The 16583-nt window shown below is 37.5% G+C and overlaps 1 protein-coding gene and 1 long non-coding RNA gene across 14 annotated transcripts in view, besides 1 other annotated feature; one reads left to right on the top strand and one right to left on the bottom strand.

The window, feature by feature from the left end:
• The window catches only part of KANSL1L (KAT8 regulatory NSL complex subunit 1 like), a 151340-nt gene that overhangs the window by 115620 nt on the left and 19137 nt on the right, over positions 1 to 16583 (top strand). For 11 of the 13 annotated variants that reach the window (XM_047443489.1, NM_001307976.2, NM_152519.4 and 8 more), the window contains one exon: positions 13037 to 13202. In XM_047443489.1, the coding sequence (XP_047299445.1) occupies positions 13037 to 13202 (166 nt within the window). Of the gene's footprint in view, positions 1 to 13036; positions 13203 to 16583 lie in introns of those variants that run through there. The other 2 variants (XM_047443490.1, XM_047443491.1) reach the window with 2 other exon arrangements.
• The window catches only part of KANSL1L-AS1 (KANSL1L antisense RNA 1), a 34435-nt gene that overhangs the window by 7216 nt on the left and 10636 nt on the right, over positions 1 to 16583 (bottom strand). The window lies entirely within an intron of this gene.
• Positions 9572 to 10298: an enhancer, noted in NCBI's record as "NANOG hESC enhancer chr2:210911567-210912293 (GRCh37/hg19 assembly coordinates)". NCBI's record gives its function as "activates a minimal SCP1, AML or CMV promoter by ChIP-STARR-seq in primed H9 embryonic stem cells {active_cell/tissue: H9 hESC(primed)}" and the evidence as "EXISTENCE:reporter gene assay evidence [ECO:0000049][PMID:30033119]".

Below are 16583 nucleotides of genomic sequence, written 5' to 3'. Positions count from 1 at the left end.
TGTGAAATACCACACCCAGCCCACCAGATCTTAAACAACATAATTTCCACTGCATTCTATAGGACAAAGCAAGTGACTTGGTCAGCCCAAATTCAAAGGGATGGAGAAATAGGGGCATACACACAGGGATGGAATTTACAGCAAAGGGGAAATTTCAGCAAAGGGGCATACACACAGGGATTGAAGAAATTTGTGACCATTGATATTAAACAATCTTTGCCTTGGCGTCTGCTTTGGGACACAGGGACAGCTCTAAATTAAGACATTAGCTGAATCAGCAATGAAGAAAAGAAGAAAAAGGCTACCTTCTAGAGGTGTGTTGATATTAAATAAGAAAATACATTTGAAAGATACTTAACTGAGGCCTGGCACGATGGCTCATGGCTGTAATCCAATCTTTGGGAGGCTAAAGCAGGCAGATCACTTGAGGTCAGGAGTTCGAGAGCAGCCTGGCCAACATGGTGAAACTCTATCTCTACTAAAAATATAAAAATTAGCTGGACATGGTGGTGCATGCCTGTAACCCCAGCTACTTGGGAGGCTGAGGCACAAGAATTGCTTGAACCAGGGAGGCAGAGGCTGCAGTGAACCGAGATCATACCACTGCACTCCAGCCTGGGTGACAGAGCGAGACTCTGTCTCAAAAAAAGATATTTAGCTCAGTGCCTGGCATATAAATCCTCATCAAATGTGAATGACGTTGATGATGATAATGATTCGGTGATTAGCACAACATCAGGGAATCAGTGATGGTTTTGGTGTGGAGGAGTGAAATGATAAAAGTATTACTTTTGAAAGATTAATTTGGTTCCTTTTACAGTGCAATTTGCAGCGGGGAGAGAATGGAGGAACAGAAATTAGCTAAGAGAGGCTGTGCACGATGGCTAGGCGAAGGTTCCCAAACCTCAGTTCTTGACTTCTACACAGGCTCAACACCACATGCTCAACACCACACGTAAGCTGCCAAGGCTTAGGGCTTGCACCCTCTGAAGTAATGGCCTGAGCTGTACCTTGGCCCCTTTTAGCCATGGCTGGAACTGAAGCAGCTGGGATGCAGGCACCACACCCCAAGGCTGCACAGAGCAGGGGGGTCCTGGGCGCAGCCCACGAAACCATTTTTCCTCCTAAGTCTCCAGGCCTGTGATGGGAGGGGCTGCCATGAATGTTGCTGACATGAGGTGGAAACATTTTCCCCATTGTCTTGGTGATTAACATTCTGCTCCTTGTTACTTATGCAGATTTCTGCAGCAGGCTTGAATTTCTCTCTGGTAAATGGGTTTTTCTTTTCTACTGCATTGTCAGGCTGCAAATTTTCCAAACTTTTATGCTCTGCTTCCTCTTGAATGCTTTGCCACTTAGAAATTTCTTCCACCAGATACTCTAGATCATCTTTCTCAAGTTCAAAGTTCCACAGATCTCTTGGCCAGGAGTAAAATGTTGCCAGTCTCTTTTCTAACACAGGGCAAGAATCACCTTTATTCCAGTTGTCAACAAGTTCCTCATCTCCATCTGAGATCACCTCAGCCTGGACTTCATTGTCCATATCTCTATCAGCATTTTCATGAAAGCCATTCAGCAATTCTCTGGGAAGTTCCAAACTTTCCCACATCTACCTGTCTTGTGAGCCTCCAAGCCTCTAGGAAGTTCCAAACTTACCCATATTTTTCTGTTCTCTTCTGGGCCCTCTAAACTGTTTCAGTCTCTTCCTGTTACCCAGTTCCAAAGTCACTTCCACATTTTCCGGCATCCTGATAGCAGCACCTCACTCTTTGCAGTACCAATTTACTGTGTTAGTCCGTTCTCACACTGCTGTAAGGACATATCCAAGACTGGGTCTTTTATAAAGGAAAGAGGTTTGACTTACAGTTCAGCATGGCTGGGGAGGCTTCAGGAAACTTACAATCATGGAAGAAGGGGAAGCAAACATGTACTTCTTCACGTGGCGGCAAGAAGAAATACCAAGCAAAGGGGAAAAAGCCCCTTATAAAACCATCTCGTGAGAATTCACAAGAACAGCAGCATGGGGGTAACTACCCCTATGATTCAATTACCTCCCACTGGGTCCCTCCCATGACATGTGGGGATTATGGGAACTACAATTCAAGATGAGATCTGGGTGGGGACACAGCCAAACCGTATCACTGATACATAGAAACACAACTGATTTTTATGTACTACTGATTTTGTACTCTACAATTTTTCTGAATTCATTTAATAGCTGTAGTAACTTTGTTTGTTCTTTGGGGTTTTCTGTATCTAGGAACATGTTGTCTACAAATAGTATTTTCTTTCTTCTTCTTCTTTCTCCTTTTTGTCTTTCCTTTTCCCATTTCCCTTCCTTTCCCCCTTCCCTTCCTTTCCCCTCCTTTTTCCCTTTCCTACCCTTCCTTCTTCCCTTTTTATTTCTTTTTCTTGCCTAATTGCTGTGGCTAGAACTTCTAGTGCAATGTTGAATATCAGTACCAGATCTTGGAGAGCTTTTAGTCTTCATCACTGAGTATGATATAAACTGTGAGTTTTTCATGCCCTTTATCATGTTGAGGAAGTTCAGTCCACATGTTTGTGAGTATATCTCTTAGAATCCCAGAAGTTGAATTGCTGGGACAAAGAGTTTGTACATTTATAAATTTTAATTTTTTTTGCCAAATTGCCCTCAATAGAATTGAACCAAATTACATTCCCACCAGCAATGCATGAGGCTGCCTGTTTGCCAACATCTTTATAACACAGTAAATTATTAAAATTTTGGGCTTTTTTGCCAATACAATAGGTAAAAAATGGTGTTATAGTCTAGTTACCATTTTTTTTTTTTTTTTTTTGAGATGGAGTCTCGCTCTGTTGCCCAGGCTGGAGTACAGTGGTGTGATCTTGGCTCACTGGAAGCTCCGCCTCCTGAGTTCACGCCATTCTCTTGCCTCAGCCTCCCAAGTAGCTGGGACTACAGGCGCCCGCCACCACGCCCAGCTAATTTTTTGTATTTTTTTTTTAATTAGAGATGGGGTTTCACCGTGTTAGCCAGGATGGTCTCAATCTCCTGACCTTGTGATCCACTGGCCTCGGCCTCCCAAAGTGCTGGGATTACAGGTGTGAGCCACCATGCCCGGCCGTCTAGTTTCAATTTACATTTATTTTAATATGAGTTAGATCTGGACCATCTTTGCATATGTTTAAGAGCCATTATATTTTCTTTCTGTAAACTGACTAACTATATCCTTTGCCCATTTTTCTGTTGAGGATTTGTTGCCTTTTTCATATTGATTTGTAGGAGCTCTTTATCTATATTAGGAAAATTATATTTTATTACATTTTTTCTGATATATACATATATATTAAGGAAATTTGCCCTTTGTTTTTTATGACTTTTTTTCACAGTTTGTCTTTTCTCTTTAATTAATGTTTTCTTTCTATGCAGAAGTTATTTGTTTTTTAATGTGATTGAATTTATCAACCTTTTCATTATACTTTTTGGGTTTTGAGTCAGAATTTAAAATTTTTCTTGAGTTACAAAATAATTATCTTGTATTTTTTTTCTGTTTGTTTGTGTTGACATGAATCTCGGTTTATTTCCCACGCTAGAGTGCAGTGGTGTGATCTCAGCTCACTGTAGCCTTCGCCTCCCAGGTTCAAGCAATTCTCCTGCCTCAGCCCCTCAAGTAGCTGAGATTACAGGTGCCTGCCACAATGTCTAGCTTATTTTTGTATTTTTAGTAGAGACAAGGTCTCACCATGTTGGCCAGGCTGGTCTCGAACTCCTGATCTCAAATGATCTGGCCACCTCGGCCTCCCAAAGTGTTGTGATTACAGGCATGAGCCACCACATCTGGCCTGTTTGTTTTCACTAGAGATTATTTTATTGCCCAATATTACTTGTTCAGGAGAAGTTTGAAAAGACAAAACAGTCCATTGTAATCCAAATGATACTTCACCTATGACCAAAAAAAATGGACCATTATCTTCCCTTCAGGCCTTTAAATAAACTTGAAGTTACCTGATAAAAGCATTATACACATTGCATTTAAATGGCTATAGTTCTTAGTATGCTATCATTCATGCTTCCCTTTCATATTGATGAGCATAAGGTTAGTTAGCATCTGCTTAACATGAATGAGACTTGAGAGATGCAGAATTCCACCAGGTTAAGCCCGCCAAGTTGACAAGTCCAGTTCATATGTGCAAAGCTGATGTATGCAAAATTTATTGTCTTTCCATTTAGGAAGGACTCCTATTGAGGAAATAGAGCCTCATGTACAATAGCAGAGGCATATACAACTATTTAGAATAGCCTACTTATTATGTCTTTCCTTCTTTCTTTTCTTCCTTCCCTCCTCCTATCTTCTAGTAAAGAAATATTAAGTACCTACCGTGTGCCACACAGTGCCTAGGCATTGGAGATACTGTGGTGAACATGACAGAAAGGGTTCCTACCTTCATAGAACTTATATTTAATTGAGAGAAAAAGTGTAAATGTTAACTAATGCTGTGCTTTGGGGAAAAAAATAGAACTAAAGTAAGGAGATAGAAAATTCTAGGAAAAAGGAGTTTATTTTAGATAGGAGAGTCAGAAGTCCTTTCTGGAATAACTGACGTTAGATTAGAGACTTGATTGAAGTGAGGAGGGAACAAACCACACAGAGATTTAGAGTTAAAGCATTTCCAGTATTTCTGAGTCATTAAACATATTAAGGAAAAGCCATCAGCAAGAAGGAGAATATAGCTGACCTTGGTAGAAATTAATAATTCAAAGAACAGACAATAACTTCCAGGGCAGCCTGTTGTACTAAAGAAACAATCATGAAACAAACAAACAAAAAAAAAGTGCCTTTAGAAATTTAAAATAAGGCCTAGTGTGGTGGCTCAGGCCTGTAACCCCAGCACTTTGGGAGGCTGAAGTAGGAGGATCTCTTAAGCCCAGGAGTTAAAACCAGCCTAGGCAACATAGTGAGATACTGTCTCTACAGAAAATTTAAAAATGATCCAGGTATGGTGGTATCCACCTCTAGTCCCAGCTACTCTAGAGGATAAGGTGGGAGGATTGCTTGAGCCAGGCAGTAGAGGCTGCAGTGAGTCTTGATAGATTGTGCCACCACTCTCCACCGTGGGTGACAGAGCAATACCTTGTCTCAAAAAAAAAAAAAAAAAGGAAAGAAGAAAGAAAGAAATTTAAAATAAAATAGCTATAATTAAAATTTTTTAGTATAAGAACTAGAAAATAGAGTCAAATAAATCTCCCAGAACACAAAGAGAAATTATACATGACTATTTCCACAGCCAAAAAGAAGACATGATGTCTTCAGTTTGATAAGGCCCACAAACTTTTGAGCATTGTGAATTAAATAAACAGCCCACTCCTAAACAGATTCTCATGAAATTTCTGAATATCTAGAAGATAAGATGTTAAAGCTTCGAAGGGAAAACAGCTAACAAAAGCAAACTATGACCTATAATGGGTAAGAATGAAATTGCCATTGAAATTCTCATTAATGACTCCAGATGAAAATAGAATAATGTCTCCAAAGTTCTGAAGGAAAATTTTTTTGATTGTAAGGGTGAAATAAAACTGTCATTATTTTCACATGAAGTAATTTCATAGAAAATCCAACAGAATCAATAAATTATTAGAACTAATACTATTTTTCCACATTAGTAATAACCAATTAAAAATATATTAAAAAACAAGGTACATTCCCAAAAGCATACTGTCAATTTTCTGAGAATTGACTATATATATATATGACTACTATGGAAACAAATTTAAAACTTTTATATAGGATATAAAGACTTAAAAGTGGGAGACATCCAGTTTCCTGAATTTAAGGTAATCTTAGTCAAAATACCAGCTGTCTATTTTGGAAACTTAACATTCAAAAGTGAATATGGACAAATAAAGGTCCATGAAGAGAAGGGAAGGAGGGTAGACAGGACTACCAGATACTGACTTAACAGTTATAAAGTATGTGGGAACTAGCTCAAGTATAAACAAATGGGCCCAGAATGAGTTCTCCATAGCAATAGTATTTATGTAGATTTAAATATTAAGATATGTTAAAGGCTCAAGTGATCCTCCTGCCATGGAATGTTCATCATGTACATTCCATGCACACTTGAAAAGAGTGTATGGGCTGGATATGGTGGCTCATTCTTGTAATCCCAGCACTTTGGGCTGGTCGCAGGAGTTTGAGACCAGCCTGGGAAACATGGGGAAACCCTGTCTCTACAAAAAAATACAAAAATTAGCTGGGTGTGGTGGTGTGCACCTATAGTCCCAGCTACTCAGGAGGCTGAGGTGGGAGGATCACTTGAGCCCTGGAGTGGAGTGTGGTACAATCACAGTTCTCTGCAGCCCCAACCTCCTGGGCTCAAGTGATCCTGCACCTCTGCCTCCCAAGTACCTGGGAATATAGGTGTGTGCCACTGTGCCCAGCTAATTTTTTTTTTTTTTTTTTTTTTCTGTAGAGATGGTCTCACTATGTTGCCCCAGGCTGGTCTTGAACTCCTTGGGCTCAAGCTATCCTCCTGCCATGGCCTCTCAAAATGCTGGGATTATAGGTGTGAACCACGCACCTGCCACTCTTCAAAGTTTTAGGCATCCACTGTATCCCCTGCAGATAAGGGAGACTACTATATTTATATAGCTGCTTCAGCAATCTAACGACTAGTGCTTGAGTGGTATGTCTGCTCTATACTTTTGCTTTTACCTATTACTTTATATTTAAAGTGGTTTTCTTGTGGATGTTATATATTTGGGTGTGGCTTTTTTATCCAATCTGAAGTTTCTGCCTTTTAATTAGAAGTGCTTAGACCATTTATACTTGATGTAATTTTGATAGGGTTAGGTTTAAATTGACCATCTTGCCATTTGTTTTTTATTTCTCCCATGTTTTTTGTTCTTTTCTTATGCCTTTTTTCTGCCCCCTGGAATTAATTGTTCTTAAATTTGCCTGGTGTTGTTTCACTCTATGCATACATAGATTATTATTTAGCAAAAGATTGAAAGACACCCTGTGAGGATTTCTGGAGCCTTTCTAGGCTTAACTTCTTTTCTGGCATTCTGTTCTGCAAATGACAGCTGCCTCGTCCTTCCCCAACTCAAACATCTGTCTCTGCCAGTCAGCTAGACTGCTACTCCCTACTTGAGCCACCTCCTTTGTGCCAAAGTCTGGGTATATACCACCATGCAACAAACTGGTAGATTTAGAGGATCACCTCATTTGTTGTTCATTTCCCAGAGATAACACTCATGTGCTGCCTATTGTCCAAGTTCTGAAAACAGTTGTTTGACATCAGTCCTATAGCTGTTCTCCTTCATGGGCAGAAATGAAAATGCCTTTTCTACTATCAAAACTGATTTTTTAATAGCAACTCCAATTGTAGCTATTACTTAATATCTTTTCTCACAACAAGTTTGAAAGTGTCTGTGATCATCTGTCACACATTGCATTCCTTGAGAAACACTATAATGTCTAGTTTCTTATTTTAGCTTCTAATTTCCTACTATAGTATGGCAGCCAACAAAATCATTTTATTGAAAGAAAATTTTTCTTTTAAAAATAGGGTCTCACTATGTTGCCCACTTTGGACTCAAACTCCTGGGCTCTAGTGATCCTCCCACCTCAGCCTCCCTGAAACAATTTTTTAAAGGTCAGAGTGACCTTTCAGTTGCTAGGTCCAATTCTGCACTTCTGACTCCAGTGGTATGGTAGGAACATTACCATAGAAAAACCTCCAGGTACCACAAAATAGAATGTAAAATATAAAGAATATTTTGTATAATACATAAATCATCTGGTTAAAAAAAAATCCTCAGAATAAGAGAAAGGGAGAGGAAAGAGAAGTGTGGTGGGTGGAGGGGTGGGGGGGTGGAAGAGAAACATACTAAGAATCCAGAGAAATAAGTGACCCATTGAATTCTGAAGCTTTCTTATGAATATTTTCCAATTAAACTCCATAGAAGTTTTTATTTTATATTCCTGAGAGTGACTGGAGGCAAAAACCTGGAAGATGTGAGGAGTCATTTTAGAAATCCTTCATAAAGCCAAGAGTCTCCAATGGCCGGCTATAGACTTTGTGAATGGGTGAACTAGAACTCAGATCTACTGTACAGAGATGCAGAGAACTTGCCTTTCTTAGCCTTGGGCTGTGGTTGGAAAGGGAAAATAGAGTGCCTGCATAGAATTTATAATAAGTCAGGCCTCTTTTATTTTTGAAGTTTGAAATCATGCTACTCAAGTGTTTTTGTTTTTGTTTTGAAGATAAGAATTGGGTTTTAAAATAGGTTAGAACAGTAGTTCTAGATGGCTGGCTCAGACAAATAGACATCCTTTCTAGGGGAATAAACTCTCAACAGAAGCTTCCAAATGTCCCATGAACAAAATTTCAACAAAAATGAATTCCCAATAAGAAAAAAAAAATCACAGAACACACAACACTAAGGCCACATGATGAGAGTCAGTAGAAATGAACAAACAAAAACAAAACCATACACGTATGTATTAATATATGCATGCATATGAATATACAAAATAAATCTCTCTAAAATGTGTATATGTATGTGTGTGTGTATATATATATACACACATATATACACACACATATTCCTACAAAATAACTTCAAATATTAGAATTATCCATACAAAATGTAAAAATAAGTAAGTTTAATTTTTTTTAAGGAAAATACATCAGAAAATTGCTAATATGATTAAAAAGGGTATAGACAGAGCTAAAGACAGAATTGCGTTGAAAGATCAAGCTTAATAAAATTACACAAAAGACAGCACAGAGAGAAATAATAAATGGAAAATATGAAAAAAGAATTAATAAAAATAAAGGTTAGAGGAGAAAGTCTAACTTAGGTCTCCAGAAGCTGGCTTCTGCAACCACTATTACCCTGAAGCTCTGGCAGGAATTTTTAAATTGGATGCAAATGCCAGTAATGATAGTTATGGGGATGCTTTTGGTGATGTTTTAGGAGGCATGAAGCACATGGCCAGTTTTCACTTCAGAGCATTTTTGACCAATGTTTTCCTCAGAACATTTGATGAATACTGAGGCTGCACAGAGCAGGATGCTTAACACATAAATGGCAAAAGTCCCTTATAAGCAGGGTGGCATTGTTCAGTATACTCTTAAGATTAGAGGTCTGGATGACTGGGGATAATTCTATAAAATAAATCAAATATTTGGTTGAAAACCTTGAGGGGCAAATCATATGTATGAATCATACTAGGGCTGCAACCCAGATTTAACTGCTCATACTCTCAGATTAAGGAGAGAAGTCTCTATTTTATCTAGCTAGTAGTGGGGATAGAGAACCCCCACTAGAGAAAGATCGCATCCTTTGGAACCTATGTGGTTTTTAAAACATACCATCTGTCATTGAATCAAAGATTAGTAAGCATGGTGAAAAGGACTACATGACCAAAATTCAAGAGGAAAAACAGACAATAGAGACAGATACTCAAGTGATTCTGATACTGGATTTAGATGGGAAAAACTATTAAATGATTATTTAAAAGGAATGCCTTTAAATGCATTTTATTTAGAGAATGCCTAAATAATCCTGAACAGAGTGTTAGTAGAAATACAGACATTAAAGCCATTCTGATAAAACCTCAGATGGAAATGAGGAACATGTTATTGGAAACTAGAGGAAAAGTGATCCTTGTTATAAAGTGGCAAAGAGCTTGGTGAAATTGTATTCATGTTCTAGTGTCTTGTGGAAGGTAGAAATTGCAAGCAATGAAATTGGTTATTTGGCTGAAAAAATCTCTTAGAAAATTGCTGAAGGACCAACCTGGTTCCTCCTTCTGACTGCTTATGATAGAGTGCCAGAAGAAATGACTACAAGAGGAACTGTTAATCAAAAAGAAAGCAGAACTTAAAAGATTTACAAAAGTCTTAGCCTATTCATATTGTAAAGAAAGAGAAAGCCTGCTTTGGAGAAAACACTGAGGGTATGGCCAAGGAGCCTTTTGATAAAGAGATTAGTATCAATCAGCCCTCTCTACAGAAGCCAGGAGATATTCTCCAAGACAATAGAAGAATGGCCCTGAAGGCAATTTAGAGATAATGGAGGCTGCCCCTCCCAGCATAGGCCCAGAGTGCAAAGTCCCTTCGGGCAAAGAAGTTTCAAATATGGAGCCACCTGAGCCTGTGAGACCTCTCAGCATGCACTGCCCAATAGAACCGTACATTATGGGTTCTGCTCCCCACCACTGGCTTCTCTAAAGTGTGGCTCTGGTGGGCCTGATATAGTTTAGGCTGTGATGGCCAACCCTGTAGGCAGCACAGGTGGTAGATTTTGGTGGTGTCTACACAGTCTCTGCCAACACTTAGGGAGCCATGGCTTAGGCTATGTGTGGCAAAGCCACTCATGCATGATTCTAGCCTAGGAGAGCCACAGGCCCTTGACCCCAAGTCACCTTGAATGGCAGAGGCAGAATAACCACCTGGAAGAGCCACAAGCTTGGGACTGCAGCCAATAGCTGTGGAGATGGGACCATAGCCTACTGGGTCTGGAAGGCAAAGCATCAAGCAGAAGAAGGTTATTCTGGAGCCTTCAGGTTTAATGGAATTTGCCGTGTTGGGTTGGTTTGCTCAAAACCTGTCATTTCTTTCTTCTTTCCTATTCCTTTATTTTGGAATAGGAATATCTATCCTATGCCTCTCCCACCATAGTATTTTGGAAGCATGTAATATGTTGGTTTTAGAGGTTCACAGCCTCAGGATGAATTGTACACCTTGAGTCTCACCCATATCTGATTTAGATGATATTTAGATGAGATTTTGGACTTTGGAATTTTTTAGTTGATGCTGGAATGAGTTAAGATTTTTGGGCTGCTGGGATGGAATGAAATATTTTGCATGTGAGAAGGACATGTATTTTGGGGGGCTTGGATGCAATGCTATAGACTGAATGAGTCTCCCCCAAAACTCATATGTAGAAACCTAATTCCCAATGTGATGTTATTTGGATAGGGCCTTTGGGAAGTTAATAGGTCATGAGGTCATTAATGGAATTAGTGCCCTTATAAAAGGAACCCCAGAAAGCTCTTCCTTCCATCATTTGAGGTTACAGCCATCTTATCAGTGAGAAAGTAGACCTTTGTCAGACACTAAATCTGCCAGCACTTTGATCTAGTACTTTTTAGTCCCCAGAACTGTGAGAAGTAAATTTCTATTATTTACCTAGTCTATGGTATTTTGTCATAGCAGTCTGAATGGACCAAGACAGAATCTTATGGTAAGCCTGCTAAAAAAGTAAAGACACAGAGAAAATATTAAAAGCAGCCAGAGCAAAAAAGGCACATTGCTTTCAAGTGGGGGCAGTAATAAAACCTAGAGCTAACTAATCACCAGAAATAATGAGAACCAGAAGAATGAAAGTATCCTTAAAGTACTGAAAAAAAATAGCCAACCCAGAATTCTGTATTCATAAAAATATCTTTAAAAGTGGTAAGATGCAAATGTTTCAGACAAGTAAAAACTGAGAGAATTCGGAGAAAGCAAACCTACACTATGATAGTAGCAAAGGGAGAAGTAATATGATCCCACATGGAAGTAGGGAACTGTAGGAAAGAGCTATGAGCAATGAGATGAGATAAATATATGGGTGGTATTCATGAATGTTGATGATACAAACAATAACACCAATATATTGTGAGGTCATAAATATATATAGAATTAAAATGCCTAACAATGGTAATGCAAAAACAGGAGAGTAAATGGAGTTCTAATGTCCTAGTATTTCCAGGGAAATGGTAAAAGGAATAATTTGTATTATACTGTAAAGGCCAGCTGGCTAAGGATGCACATTGTAATCTCTATGGAAACCACTAAAAGAAAATAAAAGAATAAATAAATTAAAATTAAGAGATGGGAAAAATTTAAGAAAATATTTGATTAATCTTAAAGCAAAGTAGGAATCAATGAAATATAAAACATGCACACAATATAGAAAGTGAACAAGTCCAGTTACTGGCTCCTTGAAGAGGTTAATAAACTTGATAAACTCCTAGCAGGATTATTCAAGAATAACCTTAGCTTGGTTTGACATGTTAAAAATCGGTTAATGTGGCCAGGTGCAGTGACTCACACCTGTAATCCCAGCACTTTGGGAGATGGAGGCAGGCTGAATCACTTGAGGTCAGGAGTTCGAGACCAGCCTGGCCAACTGGTGAAGCCCTGTCTCCACTAAAAATACAAAAAGTAGCTGGGCGCAGTGGCACGTGCCTGTAATCCCAGTTACTCAGGAGGCTGAGGCAGGAGAATCGCTTGAACCCGGGAGGCAGAAGTTGCAGTGAGCCGAGATCCTGCCACTGCACTCTAGTCTGAGCAACAGAGCGAGACTGTCTCAAAAAAATAAAATAAAAAATAAAATCTGTTAATGCAATTTGTCACTTTATAATAGAGTACAGAAGAAAAGTCATGTAATCATTTTATTAGGTTCAAAAAAAGCATATGATTAAATTCAACATTAATATATTTTTTTTCAAGTTCTTTTGGCAAGCTAGGAATATATTCTGATAAAGAACCATACCCCCCCCAAAAAAAAACAAACCCTGCAATCCATATCATTCTTATTGTGATAAATTAAAAGCATTCCCATTACAATCAGGAACAAAACACATATGTCTCCTTTGATCATTTTTATTCATTATTGAATTGGTGAACCCATCCAGCATGGTTGGAACTCCCTAAAAAAAAAACTAGTAGGATTGAAGGAAAAAAATTACAGTTATCATTCCCAGCTAGTATGTTTAGATAATCAAAGACTAGAAGAAGCTATATATTATTAGAAAAAGAAAGTTTATAGCAAAGTTGTAGAATATTCAATATATAAAAGTTAATTATATTTTTACATCCCTTTTATGATTGAATTAATAAATATTAAAGTTAATTGGGAAAACATCTAGCAAAATATTTGTAAAACTTTTTGTAGAACTGGAAAATTTTATTTAAAGATAACCTAAATAAATGTAGAGATATGCCATTTATGGATGCTTTGGCTGTGATATTCTAATACGGTTTTTCCTTGCAGACTTTGCCTTCAAAAGAAACAGCATTTTTAAACACTACACAAATGCCTTGCCTGCAATCAGCTTCAACTTGGAGTAGCTATGAACACAATTCGGAGTCTTACCTATTAAGAGAACATGTATCAGAGTTAGATTCCTCTTTCCATTCTGTTCTATCATTGCCATCAGGTAAGCCTCCTTGTAACAATTTCTAAGTAACGATATTTTCTGTACTGAAATCTAATCCTCTAAATACAGAGAATCTAATAAATCTTATTTTATCAATTTTTTTTCAGTAGATATTAGAACTAAGCAATGCCTTGACAATTAAATTTGTTGTAGAGGAATTAATCTAGTCACATGCACGGTTAATGTTCTATCTGTGTAAGTTGATTCTTTAATTCCTTCTAAACCAACTTGATTTACTTTGGGAAATTACTAGGTTTTTATCTTGTTAAATTTTGAGCATTTTATTGGTAACATGGCTGTGCTGTTGAAATGTTTCTGAGTAATGGTAATTCAGTGTTCTTTTTCTAATGTGCTGTTATACATGGAGGTTTCCCTGTCATAAAATATTTCTCCATTTATAATCTGCATTGAATTTCTCAATGCAGAGGGAAGAAAACTGCGTACCTATAAGTATAGTCAACCTCAAGAGTATCTGTACTTTATAACTGAGTAAATGAGGCTTATACATCCTTACATCTCTAAAGTGTTTTGTTTTGTTTTGTTTTGTTTTGAGACAGGGTCTTGCACTGTTGCACAGGCTGGAGTATAGTGGCGTGAACATAGCTCACTGCAGCCTTGACCTCCTGGGCTCAAGTAATCCTCCCACCTCAGCCTCCCAAGTAGCTGGAACTACTTGGGTGCATGACACCATACCCAGCTAATTTTTAAATTTTTTTGTAGAGATGGGGTCTCACTATATTGCCCAGGCTGGTCTTGAACTTCTAGCCTCACGTGATCCTCCCACCTCAACCTCCCAAAAATGCTAGGATTACTCTAGGTGGTTTTAAATTTTCAGTTCTTGATTTTTGTGGAACCTTTACACTCTTGTCTATATTGGAACTAAAGTAAATATTTAGGGGAGAAAGAAAACATCCCTCACATTGGTTATCTCCGGTTCTTCTTTACTGGGGGATATCTCAACTTAGCTTTTGTTCCATTTTCCGCTTATGGTTCTGATGGTCTTTTAAATTCTCAAAATCAAGGGACTGATTTATTTGTAAAGCACTATGTTTTGAACCTGTCTCCCTGCCCTGAATCTCAATTTAGTTTTTATCAGTAGTAGAGTGGTTTCTTAGCTACACCATTACCTTGATTTAAGTTTTTAACAAGAACTATTTTATTCTATATTTGAGGAAACCTTAATAATATGATAAAATAATAATCCATATAACAATAATAATGTAGCTAACATTTAGTCTTAGCATATACTGAGCCTTGTATATATTAAGCACATTACATTTTCTTGTTTAATTCCCACAACTCCATGAGAATAGATATCTTTGTTCTGTTCATCTTACATATGAGAAAACTAAGCTTCGTGATACTACTCATCCAAGATTACTCGGCTAATAAATGATGAGCCAGAATTTGAGGTAGTCATTCTCCAGAACCAAACTACTCACCATTACTTTACTGCCTGTTTTCTTATTAGCAAATATATTTCTCTGATGACATAACCCTGAGAGCTGGTATAAATACTCTTTATCCTAAGACTCTTATGCCCCCTCTAATAAATGAGATTAGATTGTTTATCTACTATTTCATGATATCCATTCCTTCTTACATTCAATAAAAATCTCAATACCTACTATATGTAAGTACTAAATAAATGCTAGGAGTATAAATACAAATAAATCCCTCAAGGTACTCGCATTCTAGTTTAAAACAACTGAAAGGTAATGTTTCAAAGCAATGAAATATTTTTACAAAAGCTGACAGGTCACGTGCGGGTATTAAGAAAGGCACATAGACCGAACAAGGACCTTTTCTTGTTAGATCATGTTTTCCCACAAATTGCAAAGAACAGTGGTAGAATTGGTGATACTCTCCTCATAAGTATAATATTGCTTTGGAGAAACAAATGCAACAAATTTATGTTCAGGTAATTGGAAAATATCAGAATCCTGAAATGTTTAAGGAGCATTTTAAAGGAGAATATTTAGTTTTTATTCCCATTTTCATTTTGTCACCTAATTTTCATATGATCATAATATCAAGATTCAAACTCATCTTACCTCTGTCCCTTGGTACAAACTCCATGATGATACTCATGAACTAATTTTTGTTTTGCATATTTTTCCACACCTGAGTATGGATCTGCCACTAAGATACATTATTTGAAGAAGAGATCATTTTTTTCTGTTTAAAATCCAGACCCAGCCAGGTGGGCACAGTGGCTCATGCCTGTAATCCCAACACTTTGGGAGGCTGAGGTGGGAGGACTGCTTGAGCTCAAGAGTTCAAGACCAGTCTGGGAACATAATAAGACTTTGTCTCTAAAGAAAAGAATTTTCTAATTAGCCAGGCATGGAGTTGTGCACCCGTAGTCTCAGCTACTTGAGAGGCTGAGGTGGGAGGATTGCTTGCGCCCAGGAGATTGAGAATGTAGTGGGCCAGAATCATGCTACTGCACTCCAGCCTGGGCAACAGAGCCAGTCCCTGTCTCAAGAATAAAAACAAATAAAAAATAAAATCTAGGCCCTTTCTGGGTCTATCCTCATTTATGTATTCAAATGAGTTTCCTTAAAGTACCTTCTTTCAGTAGCCAAATTTTCACTATTATCAACTGCTTTATAAAATATGTTCTCAAGGAAAAGTTAGGTGTCTCTTAATAAATGCTTTTTAAGATGATTTTGTTTTTTCATTCTTGGCTGAAAGAAAAAACCTTTAGTAAATGTGAAGCATAACTACTTCATTGCTTAACTCCTCTTTGGTTGTGAGAGTACAGAATATAAACATAGTAAATTGAAAGTCTCCAAGCCTCTATTTAAAAACAAAACTAGCTTGTCAATAGGTTTTAATCTTTATAAAAGTATATTCATTGTGATATATAATATGGTAAATTAAGGGAATGTGAACTTTGATGTTTTCATAAAAGGTTGCATCTGACTTATAGTGGTTTTCTCCCAAGACGTTAAAAGCATGTAATTTTTTGGAAGCTTCATTATTTCAAATGCAAAGTTTGTAGGGATGGGATGGAATGGATTTAGAGTCAGCCAGATTTGGGTGTAGGTTTTCTTAAAGACTTCTTGGGTATATTTGTTTCCATTCATCTGTGAATAGTATTTATTAATACTTATAATTACTGTTCATCTTATGTACTATTTTAGGAAGTTCATGAAGTTGTTTCTCTGTTAGCTTTTTAATTTGTTGATTAAGTGCACCTAACCAGTAATTTCTAAAATACTGCTACCAACATGCTTGGAAAGAGTATTTTGTCACTTCCGATAGTTGTTACATCTCAAACTTTTGCTTATTTTCTTAAGCTTATGTGCTATTTATAGAAAGAAAGCAATTTTAATGTTACAATCTGTAATCCTAGTATTACAAAGAGTGGTATTT

The sequence above is a fragment of the Homo sapiens genome, chromosome 2 (genome assembly GCF_000001405.40).
Source record: "Homo sapiens chromosome 2, GRCh38.p14 Primary Assembly".
NCBI classification, from domain to species: Eukaryota; Metazoa; Chordata; class Mammalia; order Primates; family Hominidae; genus Homo; species Homo sapiens.
Note: the sequence above shows the minus strand (reverse complement) of the source record. Positions and strands in the feature narration are given on the sequence as shown.